This window comes from Homo sapiens, chromosome 12, assembly GCF_000001405.40.
Source record: "Homo sapiens chromosome 12, GRCh38.p14 Primary Assembly".
In the NCBI taxonomy this organism is placed as follows: domain Eukaryota; kingdom Metazoa; phylum Chordata; class Mammalia; order Primates; family Hominidae; genus Homo; species Homo sapiens.
The window spans coordinates 12,115,741-12,131,387 of NC_000012.12; the positions used below are offsets into that span (position 1 = coordinate 12,115,741).

Consider the following 15,647-nt stretch of genomic DNA (forward strand, 5'->3'; position numbering starts at 1 on the left):
TCTCTCTTGCAGAGACTGATTGGCTGATTGACTGATTTAGAGACAGGGTTTCACTCTGTAGCCCAAGGCTGCCGTGCAAGTGGCGCAATCACGAGTCTTATTGCAGCCTCAACCTCCCCAGCTTAAGTGATCCTCCCACTTCAGTCTTCCAAGTAGCTGGGACTATAGGTGTACTGGCAGAGTATTATTTAAAATGCAAACAATAAAGCTGGGTTTTGTGTCTGAAACAGCGAAGGACAACCAGCTACTGTCTTAATTTCTTGCTGAAAAGAAAGGACAGACACTTTTACTTTTCCACTGTTTTATTACAAAAATCAAATTTCATTTGTTACAATTCAGCTTATTTATTGTAATAATCAAAAAAGGGGTTTATACAAGGTATTTTTATACAGTTTATAATTAAAGCACTTATTTTACAAAAGGAGGGAAGTGAATAAGTGGACAAGGGCTGACCAAATGTTGGCCATTATAACATAAATACATCCTTGCAAAGCACCATCGTACCAAAGTCAATGAACAAGAAACACCAGTTGACTTTAAGACAATGACGAAGATTAAAGCTTAAGGGAAAAAAATAAAAGATAAACATCTGAAAGCAGCACCAGATCCTTCACTTGCAAATAAGGCTAGTCCAGTTTAATCTTCTTGGTATCCTCTCTACTTTTTAACATTTTTCCTTACTAATCCATATATTTAATTTCATGTCATATTGGATTTAATCAGACTTTAAAAATTTTCCCTTTAATACCCATATTTAGGCATTAGATATATAGAATATGTATCTATATATAAATATATCTCTATCGCCCATCCTGCTTATATTTGACTGAAAAACACAACCACCAAAATGGACAGTTCAGCAAAAGCGCGTTGTCTGTAATTCTCTGGTGTTGCTTCTGGGCAAACCCTAAGTGATGGTGGAGAATCTAACAGTTCGTTAGGTCTGTACTCTGCTTCTAAATACAAGACATCATTTAGTTTGTAATTCTATCTGTAAAGTCATGGAGATTTTTTTCAGCAATAAACTCAACAATTTGAGAATGCTTTATGAAAAAGAAAAACAGCAAAGTTTACCTCAATTGAAAGAGGGTGAGGGTAGAGTCAGTAACTGATTAACCTAAGACTCCACCTTCCACTCCACTCAGGTACAGGCTTTATGAGACGTAGATCAAGTCAGACAATAGCCTGAGAGTGTGAATTCACAATACTTATAATTTAAATTTTAAAAAAATTATAAACGTATAATTTTATACTTGAGGTCCAAAGTCTTCTACCATAAAATGTTGAGAATTTCAAAAGCTAAATTTTGAAACTATTATAAAATGGTGCCATCCCAAAAGTCAGAAGCCACACATGCACTACAAGTACTTTCTAAAATCATCTTTCACTACAAGTACTTTCTAAAATCATCTTTCTCTTGGTTCATTTTAGGCTTAAGAAATACCAAATAAAATTAAATTCCTTGGGTTTAAGAATTCTGATAATGTTTTAAACAACACCTGACTATAAGCTTCTTTAGGACTCAGTCCACACTTAGTGCATAGTCTCATCTGTAGATGCCCAAATATTTGTCCACCTACTGATAACTGGTCAACACACTCATATCCATACTCTAAATCAACTATGGATGCCATATGTAGACTTAAGCACCACACATTTATTAAGAGCTGACATATTTCGGATGTGAAAAGTCCAAGATTTTTGTTTCTGAATCTTGTTAGATACGTAATGATAACCAATATGTAATTCCTATGGCATGCAAATGAATGAAGTGGGACAAAGCTTCCCCTACAAGAAATAAAACAATTCAAAATATGACATTTCTAAGAATCTAATCTAGGCAGCTGCAGCCTGTTTACTGCATAGAAGTAGGCGTGCTTAACGCATACCTCTTCAGTCTCTATTATGACTACTGGTATCAAGTCACATAAATAAACACACTTCATTAACACACTAGGTAAGCTACAGCTATTAACTCTACTGGAAGTATTCTTCATTAATAGGGCTTTATAGCAAAAGAAAAAGATGATCCTCCAAAACTGCTACCTAATACAGATGATGGCTATTTTTAATACCTTCAATAATGAATGAGTTTCCTTCATATAAATTACTGACTTTAGGATATTTTTAAATGATAAAGAAATACAACCCTCAAAATCATCTTAAAATTGTACTGCTCAAAGCCCCTTCCCCCAATTACTGGCCTATATTAGATTAAAATGTACTTTAAAGTCTTCATTTCTAAGTACCTATCATCTCTGTAGAATAGGTGTTCTCAAACTTACTAAAGAATCAGAGATCTCTTGGTAATGTATCACAAGCTACTTTTATATTAAAATTAAAGTAACTACATAATCTTCTGCTAAACAGATATCTTGTGATATGCTGTAAGAGTGGCAGAAAGTGCCAAAGGCATAATAAAATTTCATGGAAGAAAAATTAATAGTCAGAAAATTCTATCCACCAACTCTCTTTGTTTCCCTGTGAATGTGCTATTATCTGACTTAAGCAAACAAAACTCCTTAAGTCACTATTCAGAAGACCACGACTCTGTTGGAGCAAAGTCCAGGCCTTAGTTATAAAAGACCACTTCAATGCAGAATAGCTTACTGTGGTGCACACAAAGTATGTTATGCTCAAGTTTATTTCTTGGACAATTTTAATCACATCAGTTAGTGCATATATTTTAGGACACATGTTCAAAATAAATACTTTTGCATATAAGGAATCTAATGAAACATTATTCATTTTCCCCCTTGGACAATGAATTTAATACACCAAATTTAAAAATCCCTTTTCTTTTTTCCCCCTAATTTGTGATCTCATGCTTTTCCTCTCAACTTTTCCAATTACAGCTTGTGTTTGATAATCAATATACAGTTTACTTAAGCTTAACTGTCCATGTAACCTAAGGCTCAATAAATCTTTCCAAATTTGACAATTCTCTCATTAAAAAGTACTCCCAGAAATATTAAGAATCCATCTCATCTACCCCAGAAAGAGAACACTGAGATTAGGCTGAACTGCCTTCAAATAATTTTAAACAAATTGGCACACAAATTAGTATTTTGAAGAAGAGGCCATTGCCATCGCAGTGCAAGCACGTGGACTGAGATCCAACAAGGCAATATTCTTCTTAGTTAATTAGAGTGCAAGTCTCCACATGGGAAGCCCACCAGATCAAGATGCACATTTAAATATGTAAACATATAGAATTCTCAAATTCTAACTGACACCCAGGTATTGCTAACCTTTCCATCTTCATTTAAGCATCAAGTGCCCTGTGTATCACAGAATCCAAGTTCAATGTCCATTTTGTCTGACACTGTGGGCACTTAGTTCCAGCAATGGGAAGAGTTCATGCTTGTCTGTTTTAGGATTCTGATAGATTTACCATTTGCTTATATGCAAAATCAAGTGCACCTGATTCTTACAGTCTCCAACAATCAGCATTATTCTGAAACCACAATTTTATCTTCAAAAACTTTACTTAGGTATTTTTAACTTGCATGAACAGTTACTTCACCCTTGCCCAAATTCTGAATCCTTTCTTCCACTGTTTTCTCTTGGGCCCTGAAACCCAGAGAGGCCTTGGCAAGACAGAATTAAAAAAGAAAAAAAAAAAATTCAATAATTAACTGACCAACACCTCTTAAGCTAAAAATACATTAGTTTAAAACCATTCAATTTTAGCAGAGAAGTGCTACACATGTGTAAAAAGCAGGAAACGAACTTCTGGCAAGGTGGCAGAGCAAGTGCTAGAATCATTCCACAGGTCAGCCCTGATAGCTCAAGATGTAGCAGCCCCAGTACCATACATGACAGCAGGTCAGGCAGATCACAAAAGAGGCTTCCATTATTCCCTTCCACCCAAATTCTGACAGCTGAGAAGTTAACAGTTTGCCTTCTCATTTAATCCTCATTGTTAAATTTGTTAAACTATCTTAATCCATAATGGGTAAGAGAGGACCCACATAAAAATATTGGGTGATTACAAGAATAATTTGTGGATAATTTGAAAACAGCCTAACATTCACAGTGGGTAACAGAAAGATATTAAATTCATGTCACACATTAGAAGAGGTATGTATGTAGACATTATTCTGAGAAAAACCGGTCTAAAGAACATGAAAACATCACAAACTGTTAATATAGGGAAAATCCTAATAAGAAAAAAATCTTTTTAAATAGATTGTCTCTAACCAGAACATATTTAAATGTTTTACTCAGAAAACAAACAAACAAACAAAATATATATATATATATATATATATATATATATATATATATATATATATATATAAATGATTTCGTACTGTGATATATGCTGAAAGTAGTGCAAGGATATGAGATTTACAACAAAAACATAATGGTTAAATTTTTAATTCTTAAACATTGTCTATATGTGTTGTAAAAAGACATTTTAATGAGCATTAAAACAATCTTGGAAGAAGAGAAATAATATGTCTAACTTTTGATCATTATGCAAAAACAGCAGTCAAATTGAAGAGCTAAGCCTACTGGGGAATGGAGCTAGAAGAAATATTAAAATCAAGTTTAATTTAGAAAATTCCATTTAGTCAATGCTTCAGCTTAAAAAAATCATGGTATCTTAGCAAAATGACTTACCAAGTTGCTGGAGGAGGCAGCAAGGTAAACATACCTAGAGAAAAAAATTCATTTTGACAGAGGTATGGATTCTAAAGGTAGGGACAGAGACTTGCACACACACACAGCTTCATGGCATCTTACCAGAGGGCTGATCTCTCCTACAACAGCAACACCCAGAATGGGTTTTTAGAAATATCTACTTTCCTCACTAGCACTGTTGGATTCCTAGAGAAAACAAAGCCCTTCGTCCAAGGTTAGTATTAATTGCATTTTTTTCCTTTCATCATTTCTTACTTGTTGGCCCTCAAATGTTAGTTAACTGAAGGCTATCTGGCTACATCCATGTATCTATGGTTTGCTGCTCTGAGATGGACTTAATTTTTCTTCTTCCTCTTTTTTATTTTTGGTATCAATAAAGCCCAGATATTCCTGGTCAGTGATGCCTTTATTATTCCTGTTTCCTTTGTACTCAGTTGCTTCACTGGGTTTAAGGCATGCTTTGTGTATTTAGTTTGCAAAAATAAAACTTTTAGTACAAATTTTTTTTATACAAACTTTTATGGCACAAGCAGCAAATCTGCTGTTTTAAGAAAATATATAAATATCCTTTTCTTCTGTACAAATATCTCCAGTATTCCCTACCCCATTTTATAATTTTAACTGTACATGGTCTGCCTCATCCTTCTCTAATAGCTCCCTCCCCCCCTCCAGATCTCAACCAAATTTATATTTACATTTTTACGTTGGAGGCAGTCAGAGGAGGAGGGCCCCTCCTCAGGAGGAGTCTGTACAGGGAGAGGGTGGCGGTGGGTAGAGGTGATGAGAATAGCTCCTCTCTGTGTATGGAGAAGGTGGGCAGCTTTCATAGTTCTCCTCTGCTGACAAGTATTGGCTTCGGGGTGTGGGAGGTGGGGGCACAGGTTCTGAATCATAGTTCAAGTCACTGGTATAGCCCTTGGCTGTTGCCACTGAGGTCATTCTCCGACTAGGAGCATAGTCACTGTCACAAACATCTGTGCTGCAGGGTGTGGTGGGGGGTGCAAAGTGCCGGTAGCTATATGGCCTGTAGCTGGTATAGGGAGAAAATAAAGAGAAGCAGTTAGTTTTACAAAAAAAAATGATTTCCCCTCTCAGAATAGAGGTATTAGATGTCAACTACCCTATGAAAACAATAAGCTACTGCAATTTAAATTTACACAGACCAAGAGGCAATTTTCAATGGCAGATTCGCTGAGGAAAATAGCAGGTACTTTCTTATTTGCAAATAAGAAAGTGGCAAGTGAAAATGAACAGGATGGGAATGCAGAGGTGAATTCAATCTAGCCTCTGGTTGTGCTCTTACATCTTCAAGTTAAACTGTATCACAGAATAAAAAATGACTATTCAAATTTGTTCTGCAGTTTCATAGCCCATGGGAAGAATGGGTTTTTACATATTTTACACTACTCAAACATGTCAGCATTCCCTCAACATTCTTTACTCCAAAATTAACCTGATGAATAATTAATTTAATGACATCTGAAGTCTTCATTTCTTTCTTCTGTACAATTCTGTACAATTTCTGTACAGTCCAGGCTGGATTTTGGTAGACAGCCTCAGGGGCATAACTATTCCATTGTTGTTATCTTAGCAAAGGGAAATTGCTGTGATTGGGGGAAACGGTTTTCATTCCCTGTGTATAGGTAAGTACCTCTCATAAGAGCAGCTTTAAACATCAAAATGATAAAATTTAAATGCCCATAAAGGGTCAGTGAATTTTCTAATGTATATTTCAGAGGCCTAGTTTATTTCTTACACTTGTTTATCTTTACAAGTGACATACAGTTGTTAGGTTTGTAGCACTGCTAACTAAAGAAAAAGGCATTGGAAAGAGAGAAACATACTAGTGAAAATAAGATCTGACCTAAGTTCTGGCTTTTCTGTCATTCCTACTTCTATTTTTAACTTCTTATACCTGTTTATTCTAAATATGGTAAAGCTGATCTTAAATTTATCCCAAAGATTTTTTCATAAGCTTTCTCATCAAAGTGACTACAAGAGAAGGGGAAAACCAAGTTAAAAACTGATACAACGATTCATAAAACACCTAGTGATACAGAGCACCACCAGGTAATATATCCCAGGAACCCAGGATACAAACCATTTGATATCACTTGGCTTGCTTCAAAAGAAATGGCTGCCAGATTGTTCACAGTCACAGATCAAATTCCTTGTTCTACTCTGTCTCCCCTTCTTACTACTGCATTTGATTAGTCTTTAAAAAAGAAAGAAAGAAAGAAACCAGCCTGGGCACCATAGCAAGACCCCGTCTCTACAAAAAATAAAAAAAAGCTAGCCAGGCGTGGTGACACACACCTGTAGTCCCAGCTACTTGGGTGGCTGAAGCAGGAGGACTGCTTGAGCCCGGGAGGTGGAGACTGCAGTAAGCTGTGATTGTGCCCCTGCACTCCAGCCTGGGTGACAGAGCAAGACCCTGTCTCAAAAAAAATAAAAATAAAAATAAAAAGGGTGCAAGGCTGCCAGAGACCAAAAGTTATATGACCCACTGAGTGAGTTCTCAAAGGCTTTTACTATCAATACTGACATGATGTCACAGTTTGTTTTGTTTAACTCTTTGTCCAATCAGGTGTCAATCCTTGGTGAAATTTCTAAGGTCAACATTTAAAAGTCCAAATACTTCTATTTTCATGAAAAAAAAAAAAGAAAACAAACTGAATTAATAAAATTTTTTCATGTCCCAGTTTAAACCAAAATCTCAACAAATGATGTAAGTTTTGACTCAGAGGAAACAGAAATTGGGCTTATACGGAAAATAGTTAAGCAAGAATAGTTTTTTATGCAATCGTGTTTATTCTGATGAGTGCCTTAGTCAATTTGAATTAAGGACATTACTTTTAAAAAATAAAATTTTGTATCTTTCTCCTTTCTCAATTTTCAGGCTTCTGCTTTTTCTGTTTTGGCTTCCTAGAAGAAGAAACTTGTGGCAGGGAAAGCAACATTACAACATATCATTAAAACAATCAGTTCACAGCCAAGGCTATTTCAGTCTTATCTAAGCTGAAATGAGAATTCTGAGTGAGATACTTTAAGTGGTTTCCACTTCATTTCTACACATGGGTGAGGTCGTATCAGGCCAATTTGACTGAAATGCTAGGAAAGATAATAGAAGATTATCTAGAGAGGATAGAAGATAGAAAAGATTATCTAGAAGATAACAGGCACTTGAGGGATGCCCATGAACCCTGGGCACTTCAGTGTGTAGATAGAAACTCTCAAGCTACTGATGGTCTGTTGGCCTTTCAAGGAACATAGAAGTGGAAGCTGACACAACAGTACTTGACCTGCTCAACACACTTTATAGACTCATAAATTAGCAAAAAGGAATAATTTTCTCTTTTTTGGCTTACAAATACACTTTATTTATTTCAATCTTTCTTTATTCCATGCAACTACATGAGAAATCTTTCACTCCAAATTGTAATAGCATATGCAAGCAATGGCTGAACTTACATTTCTCTCAACTTTTCTAAAATTCTGTGCTCTGAGTATGTTGCTGTTTTAAACTCTCAATTCTATGAACCAATCTTATCCCAATATTTCATTCTTAGAATATCAAACTATTTTGAAACCAGTCACTTTGGTGGGTAATTCCTCCTTAGAATACTGCCAAAGCCTGAGGCTGTATTTTATTATTATAAAAGCCAGCATTTGTGACTCTCTTAAAAAAAAAAAAAAGTATAGGCCAGGTGTGGTGGCTCACACCTGTAATCCCAGCACTTTGGGAGGCCAAGGCAGGCGGATCACCTGAGATCAGGAGTTCGAGACCAGCCTGGCCAACATGGTGAAACCACGTTTCTACTAAAAATACAAAATTAGCTGGGCGTGGTAGCGCAGGTCTGTAATCCCAGCTATTTGAGAGGCTGAGGCAGGAGAATCGCTTGAACCTGGGAGGCGGAGGTTGCAGTGAGCTGAGATCATGCCATTACACTCCAGCCTGGGCAACAAGAGCGAAATCCATCTCAAAAAATTAAAAAAAAAGTATAACGTCCTGAAAGGAAAGGATTTGTGGTAGAGGCAATGTCAGTACTATCAAGATAAGATGACTAGTCTCTCTCTGGTGACCATCGTCTACTCATTTGGGGCTATATCAGGTCCACAACTGAAACACTTTCAATAAATACTGCACCTTATTTTAGAGAAGGATGTGTATTACCTGTATGACCTATGAGTGGAAGGACTGTTTGAAGAATATCCAAATTCCATAGTGTAATGTGATCGCTCTGTGGCTGGGGATGGTGGAGGGTTCAAAATCTAAAAGAAAAAAATAATTAAAATATTAAAATAACAACATAGAAACTATCAGACTTTCTTTCAACTTTTCTTCCTTCATCTCTATTAGTGTTTCTTTACAATACACTATTAGCACAATTCTTCTTTTCCAAAGAATTGACCTCAAACAGTACTTTGGGACTATGGCTTCCTCATTCCCTAAGACCTCATCATGGCTAAAAAGTGCAAAGTGACAAAAACGAAAATCTGTAACCTAAAAATCATTGGTCAGTACATTTAGGTCCTGGTTATTTAAAATAGTAAGTATTTAGAGAAAAATTATTGATTTAGGAGAAATTCCAGGTGTGCTTCCTCTTTTGGGAAGTCATAAAATGAAGGCCCTAATCCCTCAATAGGTACCATTCAGTAGTTCTACTTTTACTTGAAATGTGAAATTAATGCCCAGTGCTTTCAAGTATTCTGGTTACTACACAGTAACTTAAAAGATTTATAAGCATGGATGGTGGTGTGTGGTAAGTCCTTTGAGCCTTTTATGCCTAAATTTTACATTCAAAAACTACTTTTACATTACTATCACTGATCACCCACATTTAAATGAGTTAAAAAATCTAAGATCTTATGTATGTCGCATTCAAAGGAAAACAGACTACTTACTGCAGGGAAGTAAGTGCCTTTGGTGCTTGAAGAACTACTTGATGATGCTCCTGTAACATGGGCTCGGTCATAGGGGGGTCCACTGCTTCCCCCCATGATACTGAGGGAGCTGATCATTGATTTACCTCGAGACATTCCTAAAATAAAAGGAGGTTAAAAACTGAAGATGAGTATGATATATAAAAATGTATCAAGCAATTTCATTCAACAGTAGGATTACAAATATCAACAGTGAAGTAGTCTGATTTTAAAATAACTTACACTCTTTTCCTATAATTGAAAACATTTAATGGAGAAAGGAAATGAACGTTTTCTAGAAGTCAATGCTTCCATTGAAAGAGCTGGCCTAGAACAAGGCCAAGAATAGCTCCCACCTTCTCCCTCCCCTGGTAGAAGCAGAGCTATTTAAAATAAGGGCTTTTCAACCTCTTGGAGGATTTGAAAGGATTGTAAAGGGTAGAGGTTGTGAGGCAGGGCATATTAAATACCAGACTTGCTCAAAAGAAAACAAAAAAACATTTTTAGGGCACAAACAACATATGAAAGAATATTTTTTCATCTAATGAATATAAATGTTGCTAGAATCAAAACTACCAGTGCTAAAGAAAAAATTCTATTTTTTCCAAGAAGCTTCCCAAATTCCACTAACTGAAAATAGGTATGGCAACAAAGCAACACTACCATTAACAGTTTAAAAACCATGTTTGTCTACTTAAGAGTTACACCCATAGTAAGTTCCTATTTTCAGAGGGTTTTTGCAAGGCACCGCCTTCTCCATATTCATTAAAAGGAAGGCGTCTTTTAACTAAGGGCACCAGAAAACATTAAAAAGAAGGCCAGTTCCCTAGAGCAACACGGCCTACCCAAGCTTAAAACTTCTGGCTACTCAGCTATGCCTAAACTAGCCCTTTGTCCCTTATTAGCACATGAAGTCAGGAGAAAACTTAAGACATATTCTCCCTTCTATCATCCAGCTATTTACAAATCTTTGTTGGCTGAAGGGAATCTTATATAATTTTTGGCCTCCTTTTATTCATGGGCTCCATAGTACTAGAGTTCCCTGGTGGTGAACTTAACCTGTGGTTTACAACTCTTTCACTAAATGACTGGCTGATTCACCTTCCGTAGCATGCATCCAGAATTGCAGTCAGAGAGGCTTAGAGCTTGCATATGTATTTGCTTTATATGCTTTGACAATTTCTACCAAACCATATCTAAGGCCTTCTGTGTAAAGAGAAGGTGCTAATAGTAAAAAAGAACGTTTGTCCTTATAATTGTTTAAACTCAGAGTAATATGGTTTCAGACAGACTCTAGGTAGTATTCTTTTCCACAATGGAAACTGGCAGTCTTGCAGGACCAAAGACTTGATTCTCAATGGATCCATCCTGACTCACCTGGAAGAGATCCTGACAAAGAACTTGGGTGTGGCACATAACCAAGAGGCACAGAAGCTGGTCCATGAACTACATAGTCATTAGTCATAGTTTCCCCATCTCCCTTCATACGTGGACACAACATCCTCTGGCAGATAAAGTATACAGTTCCAGACACAAAAATGGTGACAATTACGCCAATAACAGAACCAACTGTATTGGTGGCCTGTGGTGCTGGTTCTTCAGTCGGATCTACAATGAAGAATGCAGTATGGTTATTTAATAGAAAAACAACTGTATATTCAAAATAGTAATCAAAAGAGGGCTTGCTAATAGGATGTGAAGCTATAAGCCTAATGAAGATAATTCATAAACACTTTTCTTTTTTATGAGTACATACATACCACGCCCTGAAGACATATGAAATAAATGTCATCATTAGGAATCAAAATGAACTACCCTTAAATGAAGACAGAAATAAAACAATAGGTTGGAAAGTGTAATTGTAAACAGATAGAAACAAAGATGGTAAATGAAGTACAGATTTAAACACCATTAAGAAGCTTTAAATAAATAAACAGATAAAATCCATTCTACTTCATTCTATATACCATACAAATGAACAACGGTATTCCAAGATTTCGGGAAAAAATTTATGACCAGAAGGGATAAACCTAGAAAAGTCATCAAATGTTTTACCTGGAATGGTGAAGAAGCCAAAATCAGCTCTGAGCACATGTTAGATTTTAGATTTGAATAGTGACATTTAGGCCTGATGAATGAAAACTGGAAGCTAAAGATAAGCCTCAGCTCTCAAATCCCCTATGCTGCTGGCCTTCAGGCTGTCTAGTTGCCTGAGACCAAGGAACATAAGGTCTTTAATACCTGATTACTGGAGGACTCACAAAGAAAGGCCACATTGCCAGAAGAGGACACCACCCCAGGGATTCACCTTCCCTGGATCCCTGAGCTACCCGTTTAAGAAGCAGAGGGCATCAATATCAGAGGTAGAGGGAAAGTGAGCTTATTGAAATTAGAGCATTACTGTCTCTATTCAGAGGGAAAATTCTTCCATTCTGAACAGTTAAATTTTATCTCACAGTTGCAGATCCTTTAAAAAACTTCCTCCTGCTTCATCTTACCTCAAATCTCCCATCCATATAGCTAAACTCATCCTCTGACAGATTATATGAAAGAAATGCGTGAAAATGACATCTCTAAGTTACATAATATGTAGGGATTATCATTTACAAATTTAGTCTGTGGAATCTGAAGCATAGACTCTTCTTAGTCCTTGAGAACAACCGTCTCATCTTTTCATTCCTTTTTAGTCCCCTAACATTCCTTTGCAATGCCAAGCTTCAGGAAAGAAAAGTTTACATTCACTACCCTCAATCCCTAGCCTCTGGGTCACACCATAAACTCCCTGAAATCAGACTTCCACCCTCACCACTGCACTGAAACTTTTCTGTCAACAGTCAAAGTTCTACTATTTGCCATATTCAATATATTCATTTCACTAACCTCTTTACACAATACTGCTGGCTCCTGTCTTCTCTTTAAAAAAAAGTCTGATCAATATTCTTCCAAGATACCACTCTCTTAATTTTACTATTTCTGATTATTCTTTCTCTGCTTCCTTTGTTGGCTTCATTCTCTTCTGCCTGCATCTTAAGTGCAGGTGCTTCCCAGAGAGATTTCTATCTATCACCTACTATTTTCCTCCTCTTCTTACTGTCCTGGGAGATTCTATCTACTGTCACAGCTTTCATTATTATCAATAAACTAATGAGCACCAAATCTCTCTTCTGAGCCACAGTTCCTTATAATCAACTTCCTGAAGAGCTTCAGTGGGATATTCCATGAGTACCTCTCAGGCAACATATCACAAACTGAACTCACTGTCACCATGATCAGTCATTTCTCCTAGATTCCAGGGGTAAAGACACCATAAATAAAGTCATCTAGTATAAGATAATAAAAAGTGATGGGGCTTGTGGCAAAGTACACGCCTGCCTAAAGGCATTTAATGTAAATTAAACATCACATCAATCAAACATTACATCTGCAGCCAAGATGTGGTATGGTACTTTGGTTTTCAGTTCCTGCTATATATCCCATTTAATGACTCCAGTCACTCAGTGAGGTACCTGTGGGTCAACTTAAACTTATCAACTATAGCTAAGTGGTTACCAATTCCTCTTTATTCTACTTCTGAAACAACTCCGAAATCTGTTCTCTCCCTGCCACCCCCACTCCTCCTCCTCATGATTTAGATCTTTATCATCTTCTGCCTAAACTCTAATCGCTTCCTTTTTAAATTACAGGCTGCAAGTCATTCGTAAATGGTGAGAATGATTTAGTGGGTTACAACCAGCTTTGAAAAAATAAAACAGAAAATGTCAGAAAGTGTTCTATATAACATGGGTAAATATTTAAGTGTTGTGTGACACCTTTTTAAATGCATGAGCTCACATCTCTGTATTCCTCTTGATGCGATCAGAAGTTTGAAAGCAATCAATCTAACAGATTTCCCTGCCTATAAGCTTATCACCTCCAACCCACTGGCTTTACAACTTCTGTATTGCTTGACCATGCTAGTCTTTTTCTTGAAATTTTCAGTGACTCTCCACTCCCCATTGTTAATATTGTCTAGGCTCTTTAGAAGAAAAGCATAGTCCTCCATGATTGTACCTTTACCTATGTTATCTCTTGCTGACACCCCTCAACAGAGCCTGTATTTTGGCAGTCCCATTACATGGAGTTTCCCAGAGGTGCCTGTTTCACTCTTTTCTGCTTTTGAACAGTATATTCCCTCTGCCCAAAATGAAATTTCTCCAATTATCTACATGATGAACACTATTCATTGATCAACACCCAGTCTTTTTTTTCTTTTTTTTTGAGATGGAGTCTCGCCCTGTCGCCCAGGTTGGAGTACAATGGCACGATCTCGGCTCACTGCAACCTCCACCTCCCGGGTTCAAACGATTCTCTTGCCTCAGCCTCCTGAGTAGCTGGGATTACAGGTGCCCGCCACCACGCCCAGCTAATTTTTGTATTTTTAGTAGAGACGGGGTTTCACATGTTGGCCAGGCTGGTCTCGAACTCCTGACCTCGTGATCTGCCCACATTGGCCTCCCAAAGTGCTGGGATTACAGGTGTGAGCCAGCGCACTGGCACAACACCCAATCTTAAATACCATTTTTCTAAGATGCCTTCCTTGATCAAGTCCATCTTTGTCCCTAATAAGCTGACTACTCTCTCATTTCTACTGCCACCTGTGTAGATTTCTATTACAGCACTTATACTCCATAATCAATGTATCTACTATGAACCAGGCTATGTGTTTTTTAGGCTAAATGATATATATGTTAAATCATTTAATTTTCTTATAGGCATCAGGTTAAGCATCATTCTCTTCATTTTGAAGATGAAGACCTGTAATTCCAGCACTTTGTGAGGCCAAAGTGGGTGGATTGCTTAAGTTCTGAATTGAATTCAGACCAATTGAATTCTTTTCTTTTTTTTTTTTTTTGAGACGGAGTCTTGCTCTGTCGCCTAGGCTAGAGTGCAATGGTGTGATCTCGGCTCAATGCAACCTCCGCCTCCTGGGTTCAAATGATTGTCCTGCTTCAGCCTCCCAGTAGCTGGGATTACAGGCATGCACCACCACGCCTGGCTAATTTTTGTATTTTTAGTACAGCTAGGGTTTCACCATGTTGGCCAGGCTGGTCTCGAACTCCTGACCTCAAGTGATCCGCCCACCTTGGCCTCCCAAAGTGCTGGGATTACAGGTGTGAGCCACCACGCCCGGCTGATTTCTATGTATCTAAATGATTTGAGAATTTTGTAACTTTGGTTATAGTAAAATAATATTTACTCTTTTCTAGTGCTTTACTAAATGTTTCTGTGAAGATTTCTGTGCATAAGAAAACTGCTATGTTTAAAGAATTACTGAAAGCAAAACATAAAAAAACCTTCACACAAATAATTAGCTTAATATTAATACTTATTACTTAGAAAGGAAATCTCGATAAGTAAACCTCACACATAAGAAAAAAAATTGTTTAAATTCTCTGTTAAGAGTAATTTATAGATCTCAGTCCTACTTACAACAATCCAGTTCATCTGACTTGTCACTGCAATCCACATTATGATCACACTTCTTGTGCTTTCCAATGCACTGACCATTGGCACAGCGGAACTGATCAATTAAACAAAGCACTGGAAAAAAAACATAAATAGTTTCCTTATTTTTAATATCATGTAAAGTCAAACTCTGGCAAGAATCAAAAGGTGCCTTCTGAACACAAATGAAAAACAAATTAGACTTTTAGCTATAACTTAAATATTATTCTCTGGAGTTCCATTGGTTGAGAGAGAGAAAAAAGAGTAGGAGAAAAAAATCCAGCAGGAAATTTCCTAACATTTTTTTTTTTTTTTTTTTTTTTTTTTTGAGACGGAGTCTTGCTCTGTCGCCCAGGCTGGAGTGCAGTGGCGCGATATTGGCTCACTGCAAGCTCTGCTTCCCAGGTTCACGCCATTCTCCTGCCTCAGCCTCCCAAGTAGCTGGGACTACAGGCGTCTGCCACCAGGCCCGGCTAATTTTTTTGTATTTTTAGTAGAGATGGGGTTTCACCGTGTTAGCCAGGATGGTCTCTATCTCCTGACCTCGTGATCCGCCCGCCTCGGCCTCCCAAAGTGCTGGGATTACAGGC

The 15,647-nt window shown here is 37.2% G+C and overlaps 1 protein-coding gene across 16 annotated transcripts in view, besides 1 other annotated feature; it reads right to left on the bottom strand.

Moving 5' to 3' along the window:
* The window catches only part of LRP6 (LDL receptor related protein 6), a 151,020-nt gene continuing 135,657 nt past the window's right edge, over positions 285-15,647 (bottom strand). For 8 of the 16 annotated variants that reach the window (NM_001414253.1, NM_001414252.1, NM_001414254.1 and 5 more), the window contains 5 exons: positions 15,043-15,153; positions 10,951-11,181; positions 9,556-9,692; positions 8,825-8,922; positions 5,038-5,680 (listed from right to left, as the gene is read on the bottom strand). In NM_001414253.1, coding sequence (NP_001401182.1) covers positions 5,386-5,680; positions 8,825-8,922; positions 9,556-9,692; positions 10,951-11,181; positions 15,043-15,153 — 872 coding nt within the window. In that variant the 3' untranslated portion in view covers positions 5,038-5,385. Of the gene's footprint in view, positions 5,681-6,751; positions 6,866-7,441; positions 7,589-8,824; positions 8,923-9,555; positions 9,693-10,950; positions 11,182-15,042; positions 15,154-15,647 lie in introns of those variants that run through there. The other 8 variants (NM_002336.3, XM_047428844.1, NR_182264.1 and 5 more) reach the window with 7 other exon arrangements.
* Positions 15,287-15,487: a silencer, noted in NCBI's record as "fragment chr12:12283961-12284161 (GRCh37/hg19 assembly coordinates)". NCBI's record gives its function as "represses an EF-1alpha promoter that drives an FKBP-Casp9 reporter gene in an ReSE screen in K562 erythroleukemia cells {active_cell/tissue: K562}" and the evidence as "EXISTENCE:reporter gene assay evidence [ECO:0000049][PMID:32094911]".